General features: G+C 43.9%; 1 long non-coding RNA gene and 1 other non-coding gene across 2 annotated transcripts in view, besides 2 other annotated features; one reads left to right on the top strand and one right to left on the bottom strand.

Moving 5' to 3' along the window:
• Positions 1-20,237, top strand: part of LOC643339 (uncharacterized) — a 373,979-nt gene that overhangs the window by 20,655 nt on the left and 333,087 nt on the right. The window lies entirely within an intron of this gene.
• On the bottom strand, positions 6,366-6,466 carry LOC124903116 (small nucleolar RNA U13). Its single transcript, XR_007063650.1, has one exon. It is a non-coding gene; the product is annotated as a small nucleolar RNA U13 (small nucleolar RNA).
• Positions 9,608-9,776: a silencer, noted in NCBI's record as "fragment chr12:93741082-93741250 (GRCh37/hg19 assembly coordinates)". NCBI's record gives its function as "represses an EF-1alpha promoter that drives an FKBP-Casp9 reporter gene in an ReSE screen in phorbol 12-myristate 13-acetate-treated (for megakaryocytic differentiation) K562 erythroleukemia cells {active_cell/tissue: K562(+PMA)}" and the evidence as "EXISTENCE:reporter gene assay evidence [ECO:0000049][PMID:32094911]".
• Positions 19,149-19,649: an enhancer, noted in NCBI's record as "H3K4me1 hESC enhancer chr12:93731209-93731709 (GRCh37/hg19 assembly coordinates)". NCBI's record gives its function as "activates a minimal SCP1, AML or CMV promoter by ChIP-STARR-seq in naive H9 embryonic stem cells {active_cell/tissue: H9 hESC(naive)}" and the evidence as "EXISTENCE:reporter gene assay evidence [ECO:0000049][PMID:30033119]".

The raw sequence follows: 20,237 nt of genomic DNA, 5'->3' as shown, positions 1-20,237 counted from the left end.
TTCCTTGGAAAACTTTGCAAGAAGTAATGCAATAGCAATAATGCAATAGGAATATTCATTCATTTACCCAAACTATTTGTTTTTAAACTAGAAATGATTGCAAATTGCTCAATCAATAGTTTGGACAGTTCATGTGGTTTTCCTGAGCATTCTGTCCCCTTTCAGGTCTTGCTTCGAGTTAATTAGATTCTTTGCTCTTCCACAAATGAGTTGGCACATGGGTGCTTGGGAATTTCATCTTCACTTCAACTGTTTTTAGGGACTCCTCTATCACAGTAAAAGTAGGAATGCCAAGTTTCTTGTCCAAAGAATAGGTTTTAACTCCACTTTTATTTTTTTCCAGTGTCTTACAGAAAAATATTTCTTTTTTTGTCTATTTGCAATGTGCAAAGCCAGTAACTGACCTTATGATCCTGGTCTTTCATTCACAGTTTACAAACACTACTGTCTATAGTCTATGATTAGTTTTTTAAAAGTTAAAAACATTTAACTACTAATTAGTAAAAACTATACATGTAAGGGTGTTGGAAAATATGACTAAGTCGTCCTCAAATACAGTGAACAAAAAATATGCTTACTATTCCAAGGAGAACTGAGAAAAATATGTATAACATAAAAAATGTCTCTCATTACCACGTGTAGTGGCACGGCCTCTAGTCCCTGCGACGTGGGAGGCTGACGCTAGGGGATCGCTTGAGCCCTGGAGTTCAAGGCTGCAGTGAGCTAGGATTGTACCACTGCACTCCACCCTGGATGACAGAATGAGACCCCGTCTCTAAAACAAAAAATTTTAAGTTTCTCTCAAAGCTAAATGTAATAATAGAAGTCATTTATTTTGACATTATCTTCTGCCTAAATTTTGTGTTATTAAAATATTATTTTTTTCTATGAAATATTGGTTATTATAGAAAATACTGGCTTTTAAAAACTGTTTTGATTTGGGAAAAGCTAAAAAAAACAAAAAAGCAAAGAAGACAAACCCATATTGATCTCCTAATTCTTCTTTTAAACACTGATTTTGGAAGTTTGAAAGTCTAAGAACCAGCTAGGTGAGGTGGCTCAAACCTGTAATCCCAGCACATTGGGAGGCCGAGAGGCAGGAGTATTGCTTGAGCCCAGGCATTTAAGACCAGCCTGGGCAACATAGCAAGAGCCTGTCTCAAGAAAAAAGAAAAAAAAAAGTCTAAGAACCAGGGATAATTATAATAGTGAACATTTATGAAAGGTTTACTATGAGCCAGGCCTATGCTAAGAACTTTACAAACATTAATCCATTTAATTCTTACAGCACCCCTGTGAGGTGAGTGCCAATATTATACCCAATTTATAGGTAAGGTAATGAGGAACCCAAGGTTAAGTAACCCAAGGTTGCACAGCTAATAATGGTAAACCCAGGATTCTGATCCTGAATCTAAATCCATTTCTTTTTCTTTTCTTTTCCTTTTTTCTCTTTTTTTTGAGAAAGGGTCTCACTTTTTTTTTTTTTTTTTTTTTTGAGATGGAGTCTTACTCTGTCGCCCAGGCTGGAGTGCAGTGGCACGATTCGGCTCACTGCAAGCTCTGCCTCCCGGTTCACGCCATTCTCCTGCCTCAGCCTCCCCAGTAGCTGGGACTACAGATGCCCGCCACCATGCCCGGCTAATTTTTCTGTATTTTTAGTAGAGACGGGGTTTCACCATGTTAGCCAGGATGGTCTCAATCTCCCGACCTCGTGATCCGCCCACCTCGGTCTCCCAAAGTGCTGGGATTACAGGCGTGAGCCACCGCGCCTGGCCAGGGTCTCACTTTTTGAGAAAGTGTTGCCCTAGAAGTGCAGTGGTATAATCACCACTCACTGCAGCCTCGACTTCATGGGCCAAAGCAATCCTCCCACCTCAGCCTCCTGAGTAGCTGGGACTGCAGGAGTGTACTACCATGCCTGGCTGATTTTTTTATGTTCTATAGAGTTGGTGTCTCACTTTGTTGCTCAGGTTGGTCTTGAACTCCTGGGCGATCTTCCTGCCACAGCCTCCCTATGTGCTGGGATTACAGGTGTGAGCCACTGCAACCAGCCACAGATTTAAGATGAGTAAATGCTCTACATTTGAATAGTAGTCCATCTATGTGGGTTGACAGATGCCTTTTTTGTCTGTTTTTAAAAATGAGGGCCAGCTACTTGGGAGGCTGTGGTGGGAGGATCGCTTGAGCCCAGGAGGTTGAGGCTGCAGTGAGCCATGACTGCACCACTGCATTCCAGTCTGGGTGACAGAGTGAGACTCTGCCTCAAAATAAAATGAAATGAAATGAGGATGCTCTGTAGATTGAGCCCGCTTTCAACACTACCTGTCTGGTTATGATATAATGAGTGGTCCCATTTGGACTGTCTGGCTGTCCAAGTCTATCAGTCTGTCTCTAATCTATTGCTTCTACTAAACACAAGCCAATTTCTTCTTGGAAAACTAGCTTGTAATCTTAAGAATTCCCTAGGGGGATTCTTCCATATTCTATTTTAATTTGTTTTATGTTATCAATGACCGTATAAAAGGCTTCAAGGTCTAATCAACTAGTATTCGCCCTTGAAACTACTAGAAGAGGTAAGCGAATTACCATCTAGCGTGGACAACACAATAGCTTTTTTTTTTTTTTTTTTTTTTTTTGCATTTTAACAACGCTGAAAATGTGATTGCATTATGGTCTACAGGAAAGGGCAGTTAGCAGACAATCATGAGTCCCTCTTCAGCTGTTCATTAGCTGTGGGAGCAACTTATCTTGGCTCTCTGAACATTAGATTTCTTGTTTATAAAATAGAAATTATTACCTTGCTGGTTGTTATGAGGATTATATGAGATACATTCAGGCAATCAACACATTTTGACATAAAGGTAGTTTAGCTAATTTAGATAAGGGAGTCAGGGAAGGTTCCATCAATTTAATTTTCTATCTCTAGCCATCACCCCAAATACTGGAGGTAATTTCAGAGATTTCAGGTAATAAAGGGATAGGGAAAGAATTAGAATCTTAGAAAATCTCTAACCTACATCTATTTAGAATTTTACAACTTACATTAAAGGTAATATACTCACCTTGTGCTGTGTAAATCTTGCAAAGTTCTCTAGCCAAATGCAATACATTTCACTCTGGCAAGACCAAAGACTATTCAAATAATGTGAATATAAAATATTATACAACTTTTTTCAACTTATGGTTCATTTATACAAAGACTCATTGCCATAGGAGAAGCATCTCAATTATTTTCCAGCTGGGCGTGGTGGCTCACGCCTGAAATCTCAGCACTTTGGGAGGCCGAGGCCGGTGGATCACGAGGTCAGGAGTCCAAGAGCAGCCTGGCCAATATGGTGAAACCCTGTCTCTACTACAAATACAAAAAAAATTAGCCAGGTTTAGTGGCACATGCCTGCAGTCCCAGCTACTTGGGAGGCTGAAGCAGGAGAATCGCTTGAAACCGGGAGGTGGAGGTTGCAGTGAGCCAAGATCATGCCACTGCACTCCAGCCTGGGAGACAGAGTGAGACTCCATCTCAAAAAAAAAAAATTTTTTTTTCTAGTGGTTGCAATCATTTTATGGAATTCCGTTATTCTCTCTCTCTCCCTCGAAGTTTTTTATGACCCTCCCTGTTGGATTTGGGTCGCTCTCCTGTAGGTTTCCATATCTGCAATTTTCAAAGGCATCTGGGATGTATGGTTCTGTCATGTATATGGGGCTCCCCCAACAGATTATTAATTTGCAGTGGGCAAGAACTCCTCATGTTCCTGACAACCCTTACTATCCTGCCCCCCGCACTCACAGCTGTGCCACTGCAATCTGCTCTGGGATCCTGGGACTAATCCCCTCATGTCATTCCTGTTCCTCCCTGTTTATGTCAGCCCAGTCTCCCAGGTCATCGCTCATCCTTTAGACTCTGATATCCACATGGCCTTGGATATCCCCTTTTCTGATCCCATGTCTTACCCTTCTCCAACTTCTTTTTAAAAAAAACTTTTTTAATTTTTATTTTTTTGAGACAAAGTCTTGCTCTCTCACCCATGCTAGAGTGCAGTGGCATGATCTCAGCTCACTGCAACCTCCACCTCCCACGTTCAAATGATTCTCCTGCTTCAGTCTCCCGAGTAGCTGGGACTACAGGTGCGCACCACCACACCTGTCCAATTTTTGCATTTTTAGTAGAGGCGTGGTTTCACTATGTTGGCCAGGCTGGTCTCGAACTCCTGACCTCATTTGATCCACCTTCCTCGGCCTCCCAAAGTGCTGGCATTACAGGCGTCAGCCACTGCACCGGCCCACTCCCCAACTTCTGCAACTCTTCCACAGGGACCTCAGCTGTATTCTTTCAAAAACCTCACTTCCTCACTTATCTGAATGCTCTCTTTGCCTGCTTGCTAGACCTGGTTCTCTTGAGCACATTGCTCCCCTTGCTGTGGATGGCCGTTTTCTCTCCCACACTCCTCAGACCACAGGCCTGCAAATGGGGTGAGTGTTCTCGTTCCTGCGTCCAGGCCATTTTCCCTCCCACTCTGTAGCTCCCACTACCACCTCCGACTGTCACATCATCAAACTCTACCCCACCGTGTTGCTGTCCTCTAACGCCTCCTCCTTCCCACACACGCCCTCATTCCTTCAAGCTTCCTCTCACCCACGTGGTTTCTGTCATCCTTGATGATTGTTTTATCCCTACAGATGATTTTTTTCAATATGGTATCTAGTCTTAGTGTTCTTAGGCTTCCCCTCTTCAAATGGCCTTGCACCCTTCCATGCCTCATGCCACTCACACCCAAAGTCAATCCTTAGACTTCATTACTAATAACTGCAACCTGTCCATCAGCTCAATTTCAAGTGCCAGCTATTATTGTTACCATTACTGATTTACAGAATTTGTTGAATGGGACCACTTGCTTGTGGGATTAGCACAGGCAAATGAATTACGTTCTTTCAGCCCCATTTGCTGTATTCAGGGGCTGTTGTGTGGTTGGTTGAGATCAGACATTAGTGGCAGGAGACTGGGAAAGAGCTGCAAGAAGGGCTGAACAGTGAAGAGATTAAGGGTGATGAAATTAAGCCAGGAGGAAAGAGGTAAAGCCTAGGGCAGAGAGGAGTATAGAACAATAATCCATGCTGGAGAAAAGGGATGGCGGATCTGCACACCAGAAGGTGGGGCCCTGGAGAAGGAACAGTAAATAGATTATGAACTGGAGACCTGCAGGGCAAGCAAGGGTGGAATAGGGAGATTAAAGGCAGCCCAGGGATCCAGGGAGAAGAAAATGGGCCAGGGCACAGAGTAGGGGCTTGTTGGGGACAAGCCCCCCAAAATCTGGCCATAAACTGGCCCCAAAACTGGCCATAAACAAAATCTCTGCAGCACTGTGACATGTTCATGATGGCCATAATGCCCGCGCTGGAAGGTTGTGGGTTTACCAGAATGAGGGCAAGGAATACCTGGCCCGCCCAGGGCGGAAAACTGCTTAAAGGCATTCTTAAGCCACAGACAATAGCACAAGCGATCTGTGCCTTAAGGACATGCTCCTGCTGCAGTTAACTAGCCCAACCTATTCCTTTAATTAGGCCTGTCCCTTCGTTTCCCATAAGGGATACTTATAGTTAATCCCATTTCCCATAAGGGATACTTTTAGTTAATCGAATATCTATAGAAACAATGCTAATGACTGGTTTGCTGTTAATAAATATGTGGGTAAATCTCTGTTCGGGGCTCTCAGCTCTGAAGGCTGTGAGACCCCTGATTTCCCACTTTACACCTCTATATTTCTGTGTATGTGTCTTTAATTCCTCTAGTGCTGCTGGGTTAGGGTCTCCCCGACCAAGCTGGTCTTGGCAGGGGCTGAACAAGTATTTGTTAAAAAAAATAAATATGTGACTCTAGGCTTAGGGTTTTGTTATTGTTTGGGCAATCTATTTTGGATCAAGATGTGCAAGGGTGTCACATTTTAGTGGGGTATGGGGATGGGGAAGGGTGAGGCATGTTTCTTGCTTTTATGTTAATTAGAATGGCTGGAGGTCTGGGCAGATGTATTGGAAGAGGGCTTCAGCCTTCTCAGGCTCTAAGCAGCTTTGTATCAGCAAGGTATGAATTGGATTTCAGCACCCCCATCTTTGTACCTAGGTTGGCAGGGATGGGTACGGTTAATGATGTGGTAGGCCTCTGAAGTTAGTTCTTGAAACCCTCCCTCAATAGTCTTTATATTGGTTGAATCTGGATTTCTGCCTACCTGGAAGCCAAAAAAAACTTTAGTTTTTCTGCTGTGACCTCCCTTTTGCTGTAACAGTTGAGGCCAAGATCTAGTTTAAAATGAACAGATGTGTGAACAGAGGTGTGACTCAGGGATTTCTCTCTCACTCTTTTTTTTTTTTTTTCATGCCAGGCAGGTAATGTACCAACGTTGTAATAAGATTTGTGGTGGTACGTTTCACACATGCGTGTGAACACAATCATCATGCTCATGAACTACGAGAGATTTTTTATTTTTTATTTTTTAGTAGAGATGACTGAGCGTCAGTGAGATGACTGAGCGTCAGTCATCAGAAGGCCTATCTTTATTTTATTTTACTTTTTGAGGCAAAGTCATGTTCTGTTGCGCAGGCTGGAGTGCAGTGGCATGATCTCGGCTCACTGCAACCTCTGCCTCCCGGGTTCAAGAGATTCTCCCGCCTCAGCCTCCTGAGTAGCTGGGATCACAGGCGTATGCCACCATGCCTGGCTAATTTTTATATTTATATATTGTTTAGTAGAGATGGGGTTTCACCATGTTGGCCAGGCTGGTTTTGAACTCCTGACCTCAAGTGATCTGCCTCCCTTGGCCTCCCAAAGTGTTGGGATTACAGGTGTGAGCCACTGCACCCAGCCAGAAGGTGTATCTTTATAATTTGCCCTTACCACCTTCCCCTCTTGAGAAAATCTCATCATGGATCCTGTCTGGCCCAGTGAGCTATAGTCATTTGACCCCAGAGGAGAGCTGAAAACACGTTTTTCCTTGAGGCTCTGGTAGTTACCAGGAGTTAACAATTTCCTTAGTTGTCTCTTGTTTGGTTCTTACATCCAGAGGTGTGCCCAAGGATTCTTCAGAACTGTTATTTTGAGCCCTATTTTTATTGATTTCAATGCAGAACGATACAGCCTGATTATTTTCCAGTTATTCAATTTGACAATTTTGAAATATTCTATAAATAATTTGTCTGTTTAGAAATTTAGGTTGATACTATGCAACTTTCAACATACTTTTAAAATCCATTCTGTGATATCAGTTAGCTTTGTTTTGGCTTTGAAACTTGCCCAAGGTCATAGAGTTAGTAAGTGGCAAGGCTGAGATTTAAAAGCCTTGAAGGGACTGGGCGCGGTGGCTCACACTTGTAATCCCAGGACTTTGGGAGGACGAGGTGGGCGGATCACTTGAGGTCAGGAGATTGAGACCAGCCTGGCCAACCTGGTGAAACCCCATCTCTACTAAAAAATATAAATGTAAAAGCTAGCTGGGCGTGGTGGTGGGCGCCTGTAGTTCCAGCTACTCAGGAGGCTGAGGCTGGAGAATCGCTTGAACCCAGGAGGCAGAGGTTGCAGGGAGCTGAGATCATGTCATTGCACTCCAGCCTGTGTGACAGGTGAGACTCCATCACAAGGAAAAAAAAAAACCTTTTAGAGTTTGGACTTGAATTGTGACTCTTGTTCAAAAGCTGGGTACATTTCTTAGCCTCTGTTAAAAAAACAAAAAAGATCTAATTTTTGAGCACCTGCCAGATTCCAGGCACTATTCTAAGAACTTTTCTCATCTGTAAATTGGGAAAATAATCTTGAAGATGCTATGGGCATGCATGTAACATCCTTAGGGCGGAAGCTGAAATATTATAGGCATTCAGTAATGTTAGTCCTTGTGATTGTCATTAGTCATCTTGTCTGCCAAGAAATATGACTGGCTACAAAAATGCAGCGTTACCCTCGCCATTGCCATTTAAAATGTTACTCTTCTGAAGAATATTTGTAAACATGTCACCAATACTCTCTTCTCTTAAATAATTTAAAAATAAACTTTTAATTTCATTTAAATTTATTTAAAACTTTTAATTTTAGAATAATTTTAGATTTACAGAAAAGTTGCAGGAGAGTACAGAGAGTTCCCCTGTGTCCCTTACCCACATCTCACATGACAATGGTACATTTGTCACAACCAAGAAGCCAACATTGGTACACTACTATTAACTAAACCCCAGACTTTATTCAGATTTCACTAATATCCTTTTTCTGTTCCAGGATTCAATCCCCGTTGAATTTGGCACATGCTCCATTCCGCATTTGGCAGTCACTGTTCTGTTAGCTTTCTAGCCACCTCTGCTCATAGACAGGCCCCAGGAACCACTAGTTATGCTCTCATTTTGGCATTTGCAGCCTGCTGCCCTTCGCTTTTTTTTTTTTTTTTTTTTTTTTTGAGACAGAGTTGCCCAGGCTGGAGTGCAGTGGCGTGATCTTGACTCACTGCAACCTTCGCCTCCCGGGCCCAAGCGATTCTTCTGCTTCAGCCTCCTGAGTAGCTGGGATTACAGGTGCCCACCACCACGTCCGGCTAATTTTTGTATTTTTAGTAGAGACGGGGTTTCATCATGTTGATCAGGCTGGTCTTGAACTCCTGACCTCAGGTGATCTACCAACCTCAGCCTCCCAAAGTGCTAGGATTACAGGTGTGAGCCACCATGCCCGGCCTGCCCTTCACCTTTCTGGCCAATCATTTTCTTATTCTCTGACGAATGAATAGAATTGGCCCCTAACAGTGGTACTTACTAGCGGTGAGACCTAACTTAAGTCTTTTAGAAATCCTCAGTTTTCTCATCCATAATACAAAATGCGGGTAACAATAGTTTCTACATGGCTTGTTACATAATGACTCCATCTTAAAACATGTTCATTGTTGCTTTTGTTATATCATTATGCTTTCCTCTTCAGATCATAAACCAGCCTAGCTGCTTATTTTTTCCCAATTTTTTAATTTAATTTTTTGTTGAGAAGATGTTTTGCTCTTGCTGCCCAGGCTGGAGAGCAATGGCACGATCTTGGCTCACTGCAACGTCTGCCTCCCGGGTTCAACCGGTTTTCCTGCCTCAGCCTCCTGAGTAGCTGGGATTACAGGCGGCTGCCACCACACCCAGCTAATTTTTGTAGTTTTAGTAGAGATGGTGTATCACTATGTTGGCCAGGCTGGAGTGCAGTGGTGTGATCTTGGCTCACTGCAGCCTCAACGTCCTGGGCTCAAATGATCCTTCTACCTCAGCCTCCTGAGTAGCTAGGACTACAGGTGCACACCACAATGCCTAGCTAATTTTTTGTATTTTTTGTAGAGATAGGGTTTTGCCATATTGCCCAGGCTGGTCTCAAACTCCTGGGCTCAAGCAATCCTCCTTCCTCAGCCTCTCAAAGTGGTGAGATTACCAGCCTCAGCCGCTGCACCCGGCTAGTGTCCCTACTTTTTTAATCCTCTCATGTTATCTCAAATGTTACTCAGTTTGCTGGATGGGATTTGCTGACTCAGAGATTGCTGCTTAATTGCCACAGTAGTTTAAATGCTCCTTTTAAAAATACTTTGCTACTTTCCTTCTTTTATAGAAAATTTTGGGATGTACATGGTACAAAGGGAGAATCTGAAATGCCAAATTCTAAAGTTTTTTTTTGTCAGTCCTCCCCCAGCCTTTATTTTGGTGTTTCTTATTCCTAGAACTGCCACCATACTGCCTGCAAAGAGGGGAAGGCCCGTGCATCTGCCATAAGCAGGAGAGGGCCGAGCTGACAGCTGTGATCTGGAATATGCGATTTGGAGGATTCGAATCATTTCAGTGGGCTGTGCTTGGGTCATGTGACCTAATCAGGAAATTTCATGCAATCTGACATTTCCCCCTCAGAGTTGCTTAGGAACCTAAGGAAGGCTCTGGCTCTGAATGGCAGGATGGTAATAAATTAGTCGGTCCCCAGCCTAGCCATCTGGCTTAAGTAAATTAAGAGTATAACCCATATGGGATTTGTCTAAAATAGCGATTCTCATTTTTTCCCCTCCTCTCATTTTTTTTTTTTCCTCTTCATCTGGGCTCTTTAAATGGGTTTAACTTAGCATAGAATAACCGAGCTGACTTTACCCTCTGCTTTTTTGTATCTCTCACTCCCTCTCTCCCAATTCAGGCAGCAAAACTCAGTCTCCTGTAACCCACTAACGAGGCCCTCTTTAATGGTTGATGATCTTAAACATCTTATTTTGAGAATTGCCTGCTTTGAGGTGAATGTGTTTTGACTGAGTGCTAGCTTCCACCCTCTTTGTCCATTCTTATTTATCACCTTCCTTTAGTGTCTCCCCATCCCAGGGCCAAATTGACTCTCGAACTAGAGTTTCACCCATTCTCTTTTTTGTTTGTTTGTTTGTTTTTTTTTTGAGACAGAGTTTTGCTCTGTTGCCCAGGCTAGAGTGCAGTGGTGCAATTTCAGCTCACTGCAACCTCCACCTCCCGGGTTCAAGCGATTCTCCTGCCTCAACCTACTAAGTAGCTGGGATTGCAGGAGCGTGCCACCACACCCGGCTAATTTGTGTATTTTTAGTAGAGATGGGTTTTCATCATGTTGGCCAGGCTGGTCTCAAACTCCTGGCCTCCATTGATCTGCTTGCCTCGGCCTTCCAAAGCGCTGGGATTACAGGTGTGAGCCACTGTGGCTTAATCTAAATAAATCATTTTTATCATGCCATTCTCCTGCTCACAAATCTGCCCTGCTTATGGGATGAGCCAAATGTTTCTACCTCAAATTCCTCCATCAAGTTCTGACCTGCCTTTAACTCTCACCTACTTCCTATAGCTTGACCCTCATTTGAGACAGTCTGAGCTCTTCTCTTCCTCTGGAAACCTAACTTGTCCTGCCCCACTTATTTTAGTGTTGAAAGATTACACTCTGAGGCCAGGCGCAGTGGCTCACACCTGTAATCCCAGCACTTTGGGAGGCCAAGGTGGGCGGATCCCTTGAGCCCAGGAGTTCAAGACCATCCTGGGCAACATAGTGAGACTTCCTCTCTACTAAAAATAAACAATTAGCCGGGTGTAGTGACGCATCCCTGTGGTCCCATCTATTTGGGAGGCTGAGGTGGGAGGATCACTTGAGCTTGAAAGGTTGAAGCTGCAGTGAGCCGAGATTGTGCCACTGCATTCCAGCCTGGGCAACAGAACAAGACCCTGTGTCAAAAAAAAAAAAAAAAAAAAAAAAGATTACACTCTGATCTTTGTTTAGCTGTTTGGTATTTCTAATTGTAAGCTGCTGGAAAGCAGCCGTACTCTCATGCTTAACACATTCCTGGGCACCTGTAGGTGTTCACTACATACACAGTGAATGAATGAATGAATGGCTCTGTCATGGTTATGCTTCTAGTGGGTGAGAAAAATAGTTAGCAAGACAAATGAGTAAAATATATAGTAGATGAGGTGGTGATAACTGCTATGAAAAGAATTAAGCATAGGAGGAAAGGGCGTTGCAAATGGAAAAAAGATGGTCAGGAAAGGCTTCCAGGGGAGTAACATTTGGGTGAAGATGTTATATGGTGAATCTGAATTCTGAAAGGCAGAGTTTTAGTTATTAAAAAACAAACAAGCTGGGCACGGTGGCTCATGCCTGTAATCCCAGCACTTTGGGAGGCCGAGGCAGGCAGACCACAAGGTCAGGAGTTTGAGACCAGCCTGGTTAATATGGTGAAACCCTGTCTCTACTAAAAACACAAAAATTAGCCAGGCATGGTGGCGGATGCCTGTAGTCCCAGCTACTAAGGAGGCTGAGGCAGGAGAATGGCGTGAACCCGGGAGGTGGAGGTTGCAGTGAGCCGAGATCGCGACACTGTACTCCAGCCTGGGCGACAGAGTGAAACTCCCATCTCAAAAAACAAGCAAACAAGACTTCGCAGTGCATAGCCCTGTAACATGCACATATTGGATGAATGTACTTGCGGTGGCATATGTCATGTTGTTACCAAAGACACACAATTCAAATGATGTTATTTTTGGCACAAGTTATGTTTCAAGGAAGGACAAAGCCACCCACTTACATTCCATCTCACACTGCACACAATATGAAAAAAAAACTAATAAAAAAAGAAATAGCTCGTGACACAGAATTTCTTTGGAATAGATAGGGCTAGAGAAAGTAGAAAGATATTAAAGACATGCTGAAGTGAGAATTAAATGGAATGCAAGGCCGGGCACAGTGGCTTATGCCTATAATCCTAACACTTTGGGAGGCTGAGGCAGGTGGATCACCTGATCAGGTGGATCACTGGTCAGGAGTTCAAGACCAGCCTGGCCAACATGATGAAACCTCATTTCTACTAAAAATACAAAGATTAGTTGGGCGTGGTGGTGAGCGCCTGTAGTCCTAGCTACTCGGGAGGCTGAGGCAGGACAATCGGTTGAACCCGGGAGGCGGAGGTTGCAGTGAGCTGAGATCACGCTATTGTACTCCAGCCTGGGCAACAGAGCAAGACTTCATCTCAAAAAGAAAAATAAATTGATTGATAAATAAATAAATAAATAAATAAATGGAATGTAACACCAAAAGTTCGATCTCTCCTTTGAGCCTTTGTGGAGGACCAGGGCAGCTGAGCTGGAGCTTAATCCAGCTCAGGTCATTCCAGGGATGACCTAAAGATGCTGGAGAAGGAGGGTTATCCCTGGTCTGAGGGGATAATGGAGCTACAGTCTATATAAGAGGATCACCCCACAGATGGAGAATCTGTGCCTATGGGCTGCCAGGGAGCTTGCAAAGGCTTGCTTGGGTTTTCATGTGAAGTATCACTTCAATTCGGGACGTTTGTGAACGCTGAATGACACCAAGGACCTTAAATAGTTTATTCTTTTTCGCCTATTAATTTCATGGCTAAGAATTTAGCCTAAGGGTTGGCCGGGCGCAGTGGCTCATGCCTGTAATCCCAGCACTTTGGGAGGCAGAGGCGGGCGGATCACCTGAGGTCAGGAGTTCGAGATCAGCCTGGGCAACACGGTGAAATCCCATCTCTACTAAAAATACAAAATTAGCCGGGCATGGTAGCATATGCCTGTAATCCCAGCTACTCGGGAGGCTGAGACAGGAGAATCACTTGAACCTGGGAGGAGGAGGTTGCTGTGAGCCGAGATCGTGCCATTGCACTCCAGCCTAGGCAACAAGAGTAAATCTCCATCTCACCAAAAAAAAAAAAAAAAAAAAAAAAAGAATTTAGGCTAAGGGAATCTTCAGAGATACAAATGTAGGGTTATGTACTAGATGTTCGTTTAGGTCAGCATTATTCTATAGCACTTATGCTTTCATAAAAAATGCCTTAAAAATCTATATAATACATAGAAAAATACACATAATGTGTTGAGTAAGATTTTTAAAAATGAATTTCCTACTGTACGTAAGTTTGACTATGTGTAAAAATAAAATTTTCTTCATTCATTTATTCTTTGAACTTTATTGAGCACACAGATGTTTCAGACACTGCAGAGGGTGCTGAGTATATGAATTTATGTGTGTGTATGTGTGTGTGTGTGTGTGCTCATAGAAGAAAAGACAAGAAGGAAATACTCCAGAATATTCACAATAGTTCTCGCTACATGATTGATTTACTGTCATTAAATTTTACTCTCTTATTTTATTTTATTTTATTTTATTTCTTTTTGAGATGAAGTCTCACTCTGTAGCCCAGGCTGGAGTACAGTGGTGTGATCCCAGCTCACTACAACCTATGAGCCCTGGGTTCAAGCGATTCTCCTACTTCAGCTTCCCGAGTAACTGCGCTTATAGGCGTGTGCCACCACACCTAGCTAATTTTTGTATTTTTAGTAGAGACAGGGTTTTGCCATGTTGGCCAGGCTGGTCTTGAACTCCTGACCTCAGATGATCTGCCTGCCTTGGCCTCCCAAAGTTCTGGGATTGCACGTGTGAGCCACCTCGCCTGGCCTTTTACTCTTCATAGTTCCTCTAATTTCTATATTTTCTGCAGGGTGTATATATTTCTTTTACATTAACAAAATGAACATTACTGATAAGGGCACAATTAAATTTGGGGATTCCCAAGGAAATTAAATTCATTAAAGTGCTCTTCCCTGGCTGGGCGCGGTAGCTCACGCCTGTAATCCTAACACTTTGGGATGCCGAGGCGGGCGGATCACTTGAGTTCAGGAGTTCAAAACCAGCCTGGCCAACATGGTGAAACCCTGTCTCTATTAAAAATACAAAAAATTAGCAGGGCCTGGCGGTGCATGCCTGTAATCCCAGCTACTCGGGAGGCTGAGGCAGGAGAATCGCTTGAACCCAGGAGGTGGAGGTTGCAGTGAGCCAAGATCGCACCAGTGCACTCCAGCCTGGGCAATAGAGCGAGACCCCGTCACCAAAAAAAAAAAAAAAGTACAAAATTGAGGTGTCTGCAGAGGTTGGTTCCTTCTAAGGGCTGTGAGGGAGAATCCCTTCCTTGCTTCCATCCTGGCTTCTGGTATCTTTGGCTTGTAGGTGGCATCCTCCTTCCCTGTGTCCTGACATCATCTTCCCTCTTGTCTATCTCTTTGAAACAGGGTCTCACTCTGTCACCCAGGCTGGAGTGCAATGGCGCGATCTTGGCTCACTGCAACCTCTGCTTCCCAGGCTCAAGCTGTCCTCTTACCTCAGCCTCCCGAGTAGCTAGGATTACAGGCGTGTGCCACCGTGCCTGGCTAATTTGTGTATTTTTAGTAGAGATGGCGTTTCATCATGTTGGCCAGGCTGGTCTCAAACTCTTGACCTCAAGTGATCCATCAACCTCGGCCTCCCAAGGTGCTGGGATTATAGGCATGAGCCACCATACCTGGCCAGGACCCATTTTAACATTTTAACATGATCATTTGCAAGGACCTATTTCCAAATAAGGTCATAGTCACAGGATTTCAATATCTTTTGGGGAGAAACTAACCCATAACAGAGAGAGAAAGGACAAAGAGGGACAGAGAAAGAGACAGAGTTGAAAGTAGAGGGGTAGGGGATAGCCTGGAGAATTTCTAGAATAACTGGAGCATAGCATAGCATAGCATAGCATAGCATAGCATAGCATAGCATAGCATAGCATAGCATAGCATAGCATAGCATAGCATAGCATAGCATAGCATGTAGCAAAGGGCTTTTTATAGAGCCTCTGCATCCATCCTCGGGCTTTTTATAGAGCCTCTGCATCCATCCTCAGCCAGTGTCGAAGGAGGGCAGGGGAGCTGCTCAGTTTGGACACATTCCAATAATGAAACAAGGGCAATCCCTTTGAAGTAGCTGGAACTTAAGAAACATAATACGTAGCCACCATACTACTTTACTTCTGAAAAAAACTGGGATGTCACATTTGGGGCAAATCATCAGATGTAATTTGGTGACTTGGGAAGTATATTGGCTCACAATGGGTCACATGCCACCTCTCTGGTACTGCCTGTGTGTGACCTTGCTTAACCTCCCTGGAGCTCAGTTTCCTCATCTATAAAATGGGGCCAGTGATTTTGAACTCACAGAATGTTTGCAAAGATTACAGAAAATTAGATATGAAAGCATCTGCTCTCAGAAGATACTTAACTAAAGTTAGTTCCCCATTTTACCATTCTGAAAATAAGCTCTCCAGAGAGGGCTTCTGTTTCAGAAAAGAGTTTCTTCTTTTCACTATAATGTTAAAGTAAAATTTCCTTTTAGAAAGATTATGATGATGGATATCTAAATGCCTTACAGTTGGTTAGACTCTCCTACCTTATTCAGGACGTGACGTTAGAGAAAACGGCAAGATGGAAACGTAGCTATGGCCATCCCATATCACTCTAATTAGTAGGGTAGCGGGCCAGGAGGATGGAATTACAGGGACCTTCCTGGAGAGATACCATTTTCAGATAGAGCTTTTGAATAATCCAATGTACAGTAGAAAATCTGCCAGATCCATAGACCAGGAACCAGTAAATTAGTAAACTGAAAAAAACTCTGGAAGTGTTTATAATCATAAAGAATGATATGACAGGCCGGGCACAGTGGCTCATGCCTGTAATTGCAGCACTTTGGGAGGCCAGGCTGGAGGATTGTTTTAGTCCAGAAGTTCAAGACCAGCCTGAACAACATGGTGAAACCCCCATCTCTACACACACACACATACAATTAGCTGGGCATGGTGGTGCATGCCTGTAGTCCCAGCTACTTGGGAGGCTGTGGTGGGAGGATCACTTGGGCACAGGATGTGGAGGTTGCAGTGAGCTGATATTGTGCCACTGCACTCCAGCCTGGGTGACAGAGTGAGACCAAAAAAAAAAAAAAAAAAAAGATATGATATGATACCTATAAGCCTTAAATATTTTTATACAGTTCACAGCATATACTATAGATTCATTTGTCTATTTTTGGTTTAGACCTCAAGGCTTTTCCTTTCAAGACGGACCTGCTGATTCAGGTTCTACTCTGTCTTTTTTTGCACAAACTATTTTCATAAAATATTATCCACATTTCCTAATTTTAAAAAATTTATTTTATTTGTTTATTTTTTTTTTTTTGAGACTGAGTCTCACTTTATCACCTAGGCTGGAGCTCACTGCAACCTCTGCCTCTCAGGTTCACGTGACTCTCCCACTTCAGCCTCCCGAGTAGGTAGGATTAAAGGTGCCCACCACCATGCCCAGCTAATTTTTGTATTTTTAGTAGAGATGGTGTTTTGCCATGTTGGCCAGGCCGGTCTTGAACTCCTGACCTCAAGTGATCTGCCCACCTTGACCTCCCAAAGTGCTGGGATTACAGGCATGAGCCACCGTGTCCGAGTTACATTTTCTGGTTTTGAGGGCAGAATCTTAGTAGGCTTTTCTGCCCTAAACTTTTAGAGTTGATTAGCTTGCACCTGTATGACAATATTTTTAATGATTTATTCTATCAACTTTCCCCAAAACATTCAACTTAATTTTTACAAAAATAACAACTCTTGTTTTGCATTCCTATTTCAGCACTTATGTAATATTTAATTAAATTGTAAAATGATAATAACAATGGACATCAATGGGAGTGGGCACAATCTCCACTGGAACTGGAAAGCATACAGTTCAGCAGATAGGAACAGAAGCACTCAGACATGCAAATCAAGACCCTTCCCGCGGCATCCCTTCAGTGGGTGTCTGGTGACAGGTCAGTGTGTTTTAGAGAGGAAACAGAGACCTATATTAATTGAGTGAGTTGGTTAAGTGAAGAAGGGTTAAAGTGTTTTCATTGCATGATCCGATAATAGAAACCATAATAGTTCAACTGTTGACAGATTTCTATCTATCTTGGGTTAGGCTGTTTTGTGTGTCTGTTTTTTCTGAGATGGAATTTTGCTCCTGTTGCCCAGGCTGGAGTGCAATGGCGCCATCTCAGCTCACTGCAACCTCTGCCTCCCGGGTTCAAGCGATTCTCCTGCCTCAGCCTCCGGAGTAGCTGGGATTACAGGTATGTATCACCACGCCAGGCTAATTTTGCATTTTTAGTAGAGATGGGGTTTCTCCATGTTGGTCAGGCTGGTCTCGAACTCCCGACCTCAGGTGATCTGCCCGCCTTGGCCTCCCAAAGTGCTGGGATTACAGGTGTGAGCCATCGTGCCTGGTTGGTTAGGTTTTGTTCTAAGTAAGAAGCAAACCTAATGGGTCTCCAATAACAGGTTAGAAATATCAGAATAGACTGGGTTTGGTGGCTCATGTCTGTAATCCCAGCATTTGGGAGGCACAGGCAGGAGGATCAAGCCCGGCAGTTCAAGACCAGCCTGGGCTACACAGTGAGATCCCATCTCTACCAAAAAAATTAATTTGCTGGGCGTGGTAGTGCGCGTCTGTAGTCCCAGCTACTCAGGAGGCTGAGACGAGAGGATCACCTGAGCCCAGGAGATTGAGGCTGAAATGAGTCATGATTGTGCCACTGCACTCCAGCCTGGCTGCAGAGCAAGACCCTGTCTCAAAAACAAAAACAAAAACAGAATAGTCTTATTTTACTCTTTAGGGCTCTATCATTATAAGTATAACTGGGCATCATTTTTATATCTAAGCCTCTTTCATTTTATTCATAATTCACTTGTTTATTCAGTGATCTAACAAACATTTATGGAGCGCCTGCTTGTGCTGCATGTTGGGATACAATGGTAAATAAGGTACCGCCCTCAATCTTGGGGAACTTACACTCTAGTGGGGCAACCAGGTTAGTAAGCGGGCAGTTACGAAGCAGCTGGTTAGCACAAGGAATAAGCCAAGAGAGCAGCATTGCATATTCCGCTCTGAGCCTCCTTTTCCTGTCTTGGAAGCCAGAAGGGAGGTGTGGATTCAGTGATTAATGAGCATTTGAGTAGCATCTACAGAGAACTGTGCTTCGTTCTAGACTCTGAGGTTCCAAGGATTAATAATTCACAGCCCTGTACTAATGAAATCCATACAGGTAATTATAGTGCTGTATAGTAAGTGTGGTTTTGGGATAGGTGCAGGGTCTTCAGGGCGCATCCAGGAGGGATGGGGGGAAAGGGAACCTTCCTGCATGAGGTGAAGTTCCTGTAGGCTGCAAGTGACCTTAGGGAGGGACCTCGCTGTCCTGTGCTGCTGTCCCCCAGTTCCCACGACACTGCCTTGCACACATATGTACTCAATCAGCATTCAAACTTGAGTGAATGAACTGCAGGATGATTAGGAGTTAATCAGGGGTTGAGAGGCTCTACTCTGGGCCAGGCCTTATACTATTATACGTGCTGGGAATACCAAAATGAGTAAGACATGGCCTTTGCCCTGAAAAGGGGATTATAGGAGATTATAATAAAGCCTCATTTTTGGCTAAATCCAGATAGTGTATAATGTTATCAGGCAATGTATATTAATGCACTCACAAACCTGGGCACACTTCTTCAATAAGTGGTGCTCCACCCTGGGCCATTTACTGCCTATGTCAAACATTTGTTAAACCTACTCTCCTGAGTTTATACTATGGAATTTGGAGGTTAAAGAAGTAGACAACTGAGCATCCCAAGTTCCAGCCCTGGTATAAAAGGCATCATTCAAATGGTCTTGTTTTTTTCTTGAAACAGGGTCTTGCTCTGTTGCCTAGGCTGGAGTGCTGTGGTGCGATGACAGGTACAGCCTATGATCCCATCTTGATCTCACTCTGTTGCTCAGGCTGGTCTTCAAACTCATCTCGACCTCTCGAGTAGCTGGGACTACAGGCATAAGCCACTATGCCCAGCTAATTTGTTTTTATTTTTTTATAGAGCTGGAATCTCCCTACATTGCCCAGGCTGGTCTCCAGCTCCTAGACTCAAGTGATCCTTCTGCCTTGGCCTCCCAAAGTGCTGGGAGAACAGGCGTGAGGCACTGTGCCCAGCCCAGATGGTCTTAAACTATGGTGTGTCATGATACTCAACCCTAGAATGTGGATAACACAGCTGGTTGCCAGCCGTTAGGTGTAATTAGTAGCTTTTTCTGAGGATCCCCCAAATGCATTTTCTTTCTCTTTTTCTTTTTTTTTTTTTTTTGAGACACAGTCTCGCCCCATCGCTAGGCTGGAGTGCAATGGCGCAATCTCGGCTCACTGCAACCTCCGCCTCCTGGGTTCAAGCGATTCTCCTGCCTCAGCCTCCCGAGTATCTGGGATTACAGGCGCGCGCCTCTACGCCCAGCTAATTTTTGTATTTTTAGTAGAGACGGGGTTTCACCATGTTGGCCAGGCTGGTCTCGAACTCCTGACCTCGTGATCCACCCACCTCGGCCTCCCAAAGTGCTGGGATTACAGGCGTGAGCTACCGCGCCCGGCCCAGATCCCCCAAATGCAGTTTCAAATATCAACTACCCCTTTAGACATTCCCCTGCACATTCCTAGCCTCCAGCCATGATGGAAGTGGGGAGTGGCACTTCTCACAGCGACATCAAATATGATCAGATCTGGGAGTTGCTGGCTGATGGTTTGCTCCAGGTGACCAGAAATTTTAAGATGGTCTTTAGCAACAAATGAGTTTGAATGAGGTCCCTCAGTTTATTACAGTTGCTCTTATGTCTCCTCAAACTCTCAATTCTTGAACTACCAAAGGCAGCTGAAGTTGGTCAAGGGGCCAGTTGAGCAGAAGACACCAGTCAAGGCAGGTGGCACGGATATGCGACTTATGTCTATTTAGTGTAATTAAGTGCCACAGTCAGCAAGGCAGGAAACCCTGCATTTATGTAACTTTTCCTCAATATTATGAAGAGAGAAATTGAGGTAGAAGGAAGTACAGGATCTC

This window comes from Homo sapiens, chromosome 12 (assembly GCF_000001405.40).
Source record: "Homo sapiens chromosome 12, GRCh38.p14 Primary Assembly".
Taxonomy (NCBI): domain Eukaryota; kingdom Metazoa; phylum Chordata; class Mammalia; order Primates; family Hominidae; genus Homo; species Homo sapiens.
This window is presented reverse-complemented; position numbering and strand designations above follow the sequence as displayed.